Below are 10803 nucleotides of genomic sequence, written 5' to 3'. Positions count from 1 at the left end.
ATGCTTTTTTGTGCTTTTTGTGTTCCGTTTAAGAAATCTTTTCCTATCCTAGGGTCAAGAAAATTTTCTCCTCTTTTCTTCTAGAAGCTTTATCACTTTACCTTTCACATTAACATCTATGGTCCATCTTGAATAAATTTTTACAGGGCATGAGGTAGGGATAATTGTTTATTTTTTATATACAGATATCTTATTATTTCAGCATAATTCTTTTTTTGCAAATACCATCTTTTCCCCACTGAGTTGCAGTGGATCCTTTGTTGTAAATCAAGGGGCTACGTAGTGGGTCTTCCTATTCTGTTCCATTAGTTTATTTTCCAATCCTTATGCTGATACTACACTGTTCTAATTACTTCAGCTTTATAGTAAGCCTTGAAATCTGGTAGTGAAAATCTTTCAGATTTGTTCTTACTCTTCAAGATTTAATGACGCCTCTAGGTCTTTTGCTTTGCCATATAAAGTTTCGAATCAATTTGTCAATATTTACCAAAAAAAATCTGCTGGGATCCTGATTAGGGTTGAGTTGAATCTATAGATGAATTTGGAAAGAACTGATATGTTAACAACATTGAATTTTCCAATCCATAGACATAAAACATCTCTCCATTTACTTAGATCTTCTTTAAGTTCTCTGAACACCATTTTATGATTTTCAGTCTTCTACATCTTTAGTTGGCTTATTCTAGGAATTTAACTTTTGATTCAATTATATATAGTATCATTTTTAAAATTTTACTTTCTAGTTGCTTGTTGCTAGTTATATAAATAGAAATAATATTTTATATTTTGCTTTTGGATTCAGTGATCTTACTAAATGTACTTATTTATATTAATAATTATCAGTAGTTTAGAGATTCACTTAGATTTTCTACATATGCCATCATTTCATCTGCAAATAAAAACATGTTTACTTCTGTCTTTCCAATCCTTATACAGTCAACTCTTCATATCCCTGTGTCCCACATCTGTAGATTCAACCAACTACAGATCAAAAACGTTTGGAGAAAAAAAAAGAATAGTTGCATCTGTACTGAACGTGTACTGACTTTTTCTCCTTGTCATTATTCCCTAAACAATACAGAATAACAACTCTTTACATAGCACTTACATTGTATTAAGTATTATAAGTAATCTAGAGATGATTCAAATTATATGGGAGAATGTGCATAGGTTTTATGCAACTACTACATCATTTTATATAGGGACTTGAGCATCCATAGATTTTGGTATTCACAGGGAATCCTGGAACCAATCCCGAATAGATACCATGGGATGACTGTATCTTATTGCACTGGGGCCTTTCAGTACAATGCTAAAAGAAGAGGTGATAGTGGACATACTTGTCTTGCTTCCAACCTCAGGAGGAAAGTGTCCAATATTTCACCATTGAGTATGATGTCAGGTATAGGATTTTTGATAATGATTTTTGAATGCTTTATAAGATTAAGGAAGTTCTTTTCTAGTCTTAGTTTGCTGAGTGTTTTCATCATGAATAGATGCTGAAATATATCAATTGCTTTTTCTATATCTACTGAGCTACTGAGCACAAATAGTACCACAATTCACAACATGATAAACTCTTTGGAAGGCCTTAAAATGAAAGATGCTTGGGATTATTATAATTTCCCTCTTGGAACATCTACATGGAAATGGAAAAAACTATATGGATGAAGTTGGTGAAGAGTCAGTGAAAGGCTATTACTGGAAGGCCTTTGTCTACAGAGATTAGGAAGGAGTATCCTTTTTCCCATCCAATTTTAATAAATTATTATCTTGGTGTCCGTATGTATGTATCCATTTTGGCTAATGTTGGTGTTCCCCAAGAATTAGGATTCAGAGCTGTTTCTTTCATCTCCTTGCTCTTGTGAGGAAAACTGATGGCTTCTCTAGGGGCCTCGATCTTCCCCATCACTAACCTCCCCAGAGGCAGATGGTTGAACTGTGCCTGAAGGAAAGTCAGGAAAGGACCTCCCTTTCCTCTGCCTTTTCTCCCAGAAAGTCCCTGGGACCTTCAGGTGCCATCTCAGTATTCAAATTGGACTCTGCAAGCCACACACACCTACTCTCTCCCTTCCTCCAAACCCAGAGCAGGTGACAGGAGATGGGCATCACTATGCAGGATGGCAGGGAGAGTGGAATGGGGTGGGGAGTATTCCTGAGTGATCTAGAGGCCCAGGAAAGCCCACCACATATAGTGCCCTTCTTAGCCCAGTCCCAGAAAGCTAACCACTTTTTTCCTTAGGATCATTCCATTTTTTGAGGAAACTTCAAGTAACTTCATTAGCAGGCTTGAGAATTATCTACAAAAACTCATAAACACTAACACCTTTAGATGTTGCAATCTGGACACAAATTGTCACAGGACAGACCCAAAAAGGTCAACAGAATTTGGAGGACAAGCCCTTCTGTCCACACTAGAGCTGTGTTTTTTTCTAGGTCTTGCTAACTGAAGGCCACCACCAGCTCCTTGGTGAGGAGGGTCTGGGTGAGACATTGGTAATTAACCCCATAGCACATTGTGGTATGTTCAGTAACTCCCAACTACACCATATGTGGTCTTTGTAAAGTCAGGAATTAACGAACCTCTCCCTCTAGACATGGACAAATAAAATGCCTGGACCAAGTGGATACTACCTGGGTGTTAGAGGAAAGATTCTGGTGTCCAAGTGGAGCCAAACCAGACAAGCAGGTGGGGCTTCTCTTGGAGCTAACAGTTTCCTTGGGTGTTTTCTACATTTCTGCACTCAGAGCCTTTAGTTGGGAATACTCCTCTCTCATTATCACCATTCCTTCTTCCAGATCCAAACTCCATACCCATACTGGGCCAAAGGTCCCAACTTGTCACTGCCCCATCCTCAGCAATAGGACTCTATGCTTTTCACCTTGACACTGGAAAGTGGCCCATCCTTCAAATGACCCTGTCTCCACAAAGCTTTCTCTGATAACCTCAGTGGGAATGACAACCTATTCCTCAATTCAGGGAAGTAGCTGCTGTTCTCTTCACATACCACTCACTGTCCTATAACTGTCCTTTCTATCCATTTTGTCCTTTATTTTCCAAACTGACTCCTTGAGACCTTCATTTTTCCCAACTGACTTTTGAGATCAGGGACCAAGTTTTATCATTCTTGGTAGCAACTTCTGCTCCTCAAACATTTCTAGAAACATTATGGGAAGGTTGAGGGACTAAATGCTGCCTTCTGGGTCATTCCTGGCCCTCTCACCATGCGTGTGATGTCCTGTGGAACAGCACTTTGAATATCTGCCATCATTAGGAAGCAGTGTTTTTTTGACTATCAGCCCCATCAATCAGGAGTGAAAGTTGTTAGTTCAACTCTGAGTGATAAACAACTTTGCCCTAAGGAAACATGCATGCTTTCTGAGACCAAACTGCAAGAGTAGCTATTTGGATAGGGGTTTGCCTAGATATGGCAACTCTGAGGAGCTGGGCCAGAGGCTTCAGGAAACCCCAGAAGGGCATGTGGTGTGGACACTGCATGCTGGAGGAATCCAGCCAGTAAGACAGCCTCCTGCCTGCTTACTGGCCACTCCCTCCTAAGTCCAGACATTTGCAAAGCCTGAAGTTTTGGCACAAGGCTGCTCCCATCCTTGCCGGCATGGGTTTATGGATATTAAAAATGTGCTGATGCAAATTGCCATGCAAACATGCTTCAATAGAAGTGCTGCATGCAGAAACACTGCTCCTTTTATCATCTCCTCCACCTCTGTTGGAAACATTCACCCACAGATGATGCGGAGATTAGTGGGGCGTCAGGCTGCTGTGTGTTTTTAGGCTGCTTGTCAGCTCCCATTGGCTATGGCTAGGGCTGTAGAGAAGGCTGGGATACACCTCAGTGCCCTGTCTGAGGCCCATAGGCAGAGTTCTGGGGCAGAAGCATGACTTAGGAGTGGGAGAAGAAAGAGCCCATTCCTTAGTCAGATATTAATATTTTCTCAAGTCTCCAGGCTCCAGCCATTGGCCAGCACACCTAGGTTGTGCTCTCTGGGCTGGCAAACAGCATCAACACAAGTCCAAGCCCTTCCTGTTCTGGTGGCAGCCACTCTCACCCACTCTCTCTTTTCTACTCCCTGTTCTCTCATTCTTCTCCCTATAGGGTTTCCAGAAAAAAATGCAGACCATGTAGAATTGGGGCAATTTCAGCCAAATGCAAAACTGTCTTAGATGGAAGGATGTAAGATACACTAGACAGCCCTTGCCAAGCAGGAAAGGCTTGGACTTGTATTCTAAACTACAGTGCCCCTCTGCCCCTGAGAAGACTCCACATTTTCCTTTTACAAGAACTGCCTTCAGGTTCCCAGCCCTTAGATTGTGGATGTACAGCATGGCAGAGCTGGGGAGGGCCTTGGCAGCCCCCAGTGCTCCTCATCTGCCTACCTGCCATTCTGTCTCTCAGAAAAGAGCCCGATGCTGAAAAGCCTTGAAGACAAGCATGAAGAGTCCCCTGTCAGTCCTGCCCAAGCTCCCTGCAGCAGGTCTAGTGCCCTTCCTCTGTCTCTCTTGCCTTCCAAGAGAGACCTGCCCTCCATGAGGGACACAGGGACAGTCAGTAGCTAGATCAGAGAGGTATGACGGGGTTGATGCAACTCTGGGCCTGAACCCAGCCAACTCTCCTGGCCTTTGGCAGATGACTGAGTCCAGCCTGAGTGGAAGAATTCCTGGGGACCCTTATAGAGAACACTGACCAGGCCCCAAAGCCCCCTTAGGAAAATGAATCTCCCTTTCACCACCTAAGAGAAGAGGAAGGTTGAGCCTCAGAGCACCGGATGGGGGATCAGCAAACATCCAGAATTCCCCCCACCCCAAGGCCTACCAGGGACATCCAACCTTCTCCCCAGCTAGAGGTGACCACCACCCCACCGCCCTTAGTCTGCACCCACCTTGTTCTAGGAGCCTGAAATTCTACCAATGAAATTCTTTCCATTGGGTTAAGTCTAATATGAATTAGCTAGATGTTTTCTTCAGGGTAATTCTGAAGGGGTTAGAGAAAGGATAAAGGGCCAGTGCATTCAAAAAGGATGACAAGGTGTCCAAACAATTGAAAGCAGAGTTTGGATTAAGTTTTCATAGAAAAATAACGTTTTAAATTATCTACTGATTTTCAACCAAACATCTCCAGGTGTAGATAATATCACAGGCAGGTAAGGCAGGTTAACCTCTTGATTGTCTAGTACCCTACACTCTCCTGTGTATACCTCAGGTTGAACACCCAGAACTCAGAATCAATTTCAGTACTAGAATCTCAGAAGCAGAAAGAATCTCAGGGATGATGCAATCTGGGGGTCACCACCTTCTCACCATAAAGGACTTCTCTTATTTTATCCCCTATATTTTAGGAATTCTAATGTCATCAAAGCCAATCAGTACTGTTGACTAGGATGGGCTAACCTCTGGGACCACATAGAATTGGTGCAATTTCAGCCAAATGCCAAACTGTCTTAGATAACCTGGTACTCCTCATTTTGGCAAAGCATTGGCTTTCTAATCAGCTTTACAAAATGCTCAAAACAGTCTCACACCACATTTATTGCCATTCACCAACCCAGAAGCATCTTGGGCCTGGCCTAGCTAACCTCAGGGACTGCCCAGCAACTCTGCACGGTGTACTGTGTGTAGCAGTCCTGAAACCACACACCATGTAGCTGCATGCCCTCCAAGAGAAAGTTGATATTGTGGCCATCAGCCCTGGGTGAGGACAGGGACTGGGGCTGGGGGAAGACCAGGCTTTCCCAGAGTTGTCTCCCTACAAAGTCATCCTGTCAACAAATGATCCCCAGTGGCCCAGGAGCTGTGACATCAGTTTGGTGCCTTTGATGTCAGTGGCTGCTGAATTTCACCTTACATCTGGTTTCCTGGCCAGGCTACTGAGAAAGGCCAGGTGGTGGGGCTCTGGAGCTGTCTGTCATCCAAGCTGACACATGACAGCCAGCCCGGGCTGAGCCTGAGAAAGCAGGATGTGGAGAACGAAAGTCAGTGACTATTCAGGGAACCCAAGTACAGCAAGGAGCATTCCTTTCGTTCCAGGAGAGACCAGGTCTGAGATGGCTCAGGCATACCCAGTCTGACCCCAGGGAAGGGCTACCTGAGGCTGAGGGGGTGTTGAGGGGAGGCCTCATGTGGCCCCTCCCTGCGGACAGAAACAGGAGGTCCATGTGGTGTGGTGTCAGGTGACTTCTCAGTCTTTCCTGAGGCTCATTTCCTACCCTGGGGTGGCACAGGACCCCTGTCCCCAGGTGCTTTGCCAACTTCCATTTTTCCCTGTTTTAAGTTTCCCAGGGAAGTTTGCTGTGTGTATCCTGCTCTTTGCTAGAAGGCAGGAAACTCGTTTTTAGAACCTAGATTTGCCCCACTCTCACTGTGTGACCTTGGAAAATCCCTTTTTATTCTCCAGGCCTTAGTTCCTCATCTATCTATCACAGGAGTGAACGAAGCAGGTGCGAGGCATATGAGGTAGACACATTTATTGTACACATTCTATGTATCTGTCATTTGATGTACTTTATTTCTTTTGATCTGCACAAAATTCTAATATTCATAGAACTTGACATTTTATTGACTTGATTTGCCAGACCCAGTGCTGGGCTTTTTACACGCATTAATTCAACTATTCCTCATAACAATCCCATAATGTAGACTCTATTATTATCTCCATTTTAGAGAGGAGACTGAGGCACAGAGCACTTAGATAACTTTCCAAGTCATACTGCTCATGAGGGAAGAGCCTGAACACAGGCAGCAAACCTCAGGGCAGCCATTTTCTGCTGCCTCATGAAGTTTATCTGTGACATCGTAATCATAAGAGCACCCTCTTCATGGGGGTGCTGGGAGTATTCAATGAGTGCTGAGAACTTAACATGTAGATGTGCTCAATGAAGGTGACCGATTTGTCTGCTATTATACTAAGGATCAGAGAGGTGAGGTGACAGACCCAGGCCTCCCAACCCTGGAGATGGTACCCACCCACCGCCCCTGCCTACCACTCCCTCCATTCATTTAGGTCAAGGCAACCCCAGACAAGGCCAGAAGGACAACCCGTCACCTGCTTGCTTTCCTCATTTCCAGTCATTAAATTTCTTTATCTGCCTTGGAGATTCTGCCTCAGCTTACTCTCTACTTCCAGGGTCAAAGGTCTCTACTTTTGACACAGGAATCTCACTCCCACTTGGTAGAGTGACTGATAACAGCTTAGTGTGAGATCCCTTGGTAGGAGCACATCAGTCCTACTGAAACAGGCACAGGAGTGAAGTTCCACGAGACAGCTCTCAGGAGCAGCCTAAGGAACAAGGCGGTGGGGACTGCTATACCCCCAGATCAGCCCTAGCTCTGGGGAATGATGGTGCCCTGGGCCACCACATCAAAGCACAGCATCTAGGAAGCCCTGAGTCTAGGAAGGGGTCTGGCCTTCAGTGTTTTGGTAAAGATTAGCCAGTTTGGGGTTTGAAAAACAAAACTTATTTTAAAAGGTCATGTTAAAAAGTAGAGGGAGAGAGAAAGAACTTAAAAATCCCAGAGTCACCCTCACAAGTAGGTTTTCTCCCAGATTTTTTCTGTAACAAATGTAAAAATATCATTTTGTTTTGAAAATTAAAATAATATTGTGGCTATGCTTTTGAATCTTTTTTTTTTTTTGGCCAAACTTTACATTGCCTGAAAATTTTCATGTTACCAAACAATTTCTAAAGTCTACTTTGTTGTGGCAGATACAACAAATTGACTACTTGACAGCATTTGGTTTTATGACCTCCTTCCTACTCCTCTAACTTTCTTATTAAAGAATCTGGAAAGCCAAAAATTCTTACTTTCCCAGACTCCTTTGCAGTTAGGAGTAGCCCTGGAACAGTTGCGGCCGATAGCTGAAAGCAGATATCACTGGGTGTGTCTTCAGGTAAAGTTCATAAAAATGGATAGACTCATGCCTTTTTGCCCTTTTCCTCTTTCCTCCCCTCCATCATGCTAAAGTCATACCTTCAGAGGAAGCCATCTTGTAACCTTAAGAATGAAAGTACAAAATTAGATGGAGTCTGGGTTCTTAATGATATTCTTGGGCTGCTGCATCAGCCTGAAATGATCTATTTCTGGACTTCTTATTGCAATAAATTAATCCATCTGTTAAAGCCCCTTTGGTCACATTCTTGGTTTCTTGAAGCTAAATGCAACCCTCAATGCACATTATATGAGTGTATCACAATGTAGCATTCCCTACTGACTTACTGCTACTATAAACAACATTGCCCTGAATATCCCCAAGATAAATTGCTATGTATTTCTTCAATTATTTACTTTGGCTTTATTCCTGGAAAAGAAATTATTAAGCCAAAGAGAAGGTAGTTTTCAGGGGGGTGGGGTTGTTTTGTTTTTTTACCTTTTGATGCATCTTTCACATGGCCATGCAGGCATGTCATGCCAACAACGTTTCTACCAGCTTTAAGTAAGTCAGGAGGACTTACAACACACTTCGTGAAGCAGGAGCTAAGTCAGCCACAGCCCATTAAGAAAGATTGCCCCAGCAAGGCCTGTCTGTGATCTGAGCTTTGCAGAAACCCCCTTAGGAAGGAAAAGGGCTGGTTCTGGCCACAGAAGAGCCTGCTGCTGCCTCTGCTACTGCAACTTTTGCAGGGACTCTCCATCCCCAGAGGCTGCAAATTCTATTAATACCAGTGTTTCTCAACCTCTACACCACTCATGTTTGGAATGGATAATTTTTGTCATAGTTCCCTTTGTTGTAGGAGGCTATCCTGTACATTATAGGATGTTTAGCAGCATTCTTGGCCTCTAACTACTAGATGCCAGTAGCACCTGTTTCCCAGTTTTGACAATTGAAAGTGTCATTGCCCCAAGTGAACATTGCCCCAAGTCCCCTGGGGGAGGAGGGGGGCAAAATCTCCAATGTGCTTCCAGTAATTCTTGCACTTGAAAGTACACCAGGCTGAGAACCACAATTCTGCTTGAGTTCTGGGAAAAAAAAAAAAAAAAAAAAAAAAAAAAACCGGTAACAAGGATTCTTTTTATTAAGAGAATCAACCTTCATTGAATGCCAGCCCCAAAGTAGGCACTGAGGTGGGCACTGAGGCTACAACAGCAAACACACCAGACATGATCCCTGCCTCCCCGGAGCCCACAGCCAGTTAAAGAAGTTAGACTATTAAGAGATTACACAAGCAAGATAGATTATCTGGGCTTTGGTTTGCTCATCTGTCCAGTGGCAAGAATAGTCCTCAGGCATTGAACCTCACATGGTGGCTGGGTGATCATCAGCAATGTACGTGGGATGCCATGCCCTGAGGAAATGGCAGACTGAGTCAGAGACCAGGCAGAAGCTGAGAAGACAGACAGCAACTGGGCTGCTAGCACAAAGAAAAGATCAAGCCTCTCCATGAACCAAAGTGAAACCAAATCTGGACCTGTCACACATCTCTGATGTCTAGGGTGTGACAAAATGTGCCTTCTGGGCATCAGGGTCTCACTAGAAACCCACAGCCTCCTGGAGGGATGGACTACAACAATTTGGACAGCATGATCCACTGAGACAGAAAGTCCATGTTTTCCTCTCCCTCTCTCATACTAGGCCCTGAACCTGGTGCCCCTCCAGTCCTCAGGAGAGTTGGGTACTGCCAGGCAGGAAGCAGAAGCTGCTGAATGGCAACCTCTCTTTCTATTTTTATGGACTCCTGGGTGAATTAAACTTCAGACATTCAGCTATTTGTGGTGAAAACCCTAAAACCAAAATGACTTAAATAAGATTGATGTTTATTTTACCCTCATGCAAATTTGTGAACCAAAATAGCCCCTCTGCCCCCATAGTCACTGTGGCCCAAGCTCCCTTTCTCTTGTTGGTCTGCCATCCCTGGAATGTTGCCCTCTTCCACATGGCACAAGATGGCTCTCTACCATGTCTGCATCACAGCCAGCATGAAGGAAGCAGGTAAAGAGCATGTTAGGCCCAAGCCTGGGTCCTTAAAGGGCATGAGCCAGAAGCCGCCCCAGTGGTGTGCTGGATCTCACTGGCTCCAAGAGATGACTGTGCACATCTCTCCTCAATCCACATTTGTAGCTTGAAGTCAGCCATGGCTAGAACACTGACACCATGGAAACTCGTAAACACTACAGTCAAGGCTTTATTTTCTCTGAAGAGCTGGTTGTTAAATAATTACCAACAAATCCCTCACACATCTCTTCTGCTCAGAATCCATTGATAAGAACTTAGTGATAAAGTCACCCCTCAGCTGCAAGGGAAGCTAAGAAATATAGTCTCCAGCTATACAGCTATGTGCCCAGCTACAAATCTTATTGCTGTGGAATAAGGGCAGAATGGATCCTTGGGGCAACTAGCAGGCTCTGCCCCCAGACTTATTGAGAGGATTATGCCCAGAGTCCTGACAGAGAAGAGGGAAGAGGTGTTCGGAAAGAGAAAGATGATTCTCCAAGGCTGGCCAGGAGATGAGGTCTGGATCCCACATGTGGTATAGCTGGTTTCAGTGACCCCTTCCATGTAGAACTCTTAGGCAGCAGAACAAATGGCTCTCAGCCAGTTCTTGTGTACATGGCCCAATCTGGTCCATGGGAAACACTCACAAATCCTGAGAATGCAGAATACAACTCCCTGCTCGGTGCCATATGACCCTGCTGGGCTGAGTAAGCCTTGACACCCTTCCCACCAGCCTGAGGTGGGAGCAGACACCTCCCACCTCCCCACTCCAGCAACTTTCACCAAAATATTTCTTCTCCAACTCTCTCCAGGATGAGGGGTTTTTAGAGTCATGAAACAAATTGTCTAGGAGTCCCTT

At 44.3% G+C, this 10803-nt stretch overlaps 1 annotated feature.

Moving 5' to 3' along the window:
• Nucleotides 8646-8695: an enhancer, noted in NCBI's record as "active region_20608". NCBI's record gives its function as "activates an Ori minimal core promoter by ATAC-STARR-seq in GM12878 lymphoblastoid cells {active_cell/tissue: GM12878}" and the evidence as "EXISTENCE:reporter gene assay evidence [ECO:0000049][PMID:35858748]".

The sequence above is a fragment of the Homo sapiens genome, chromosome 3 (assembly GCF_000001405.40).
Source record: "Homo sapiens chromosome 3, GRCh38.p14 Primary Assembly".
Taxonomy (NCBI): Eukaryota; Metazoa; Chordata; class Mammalia; order Primates; family Hominidae; genus Homo; species Homo sapiens.
This window is presented reverse-complemented; position numbering and strand designations above follow the sequence as displayed.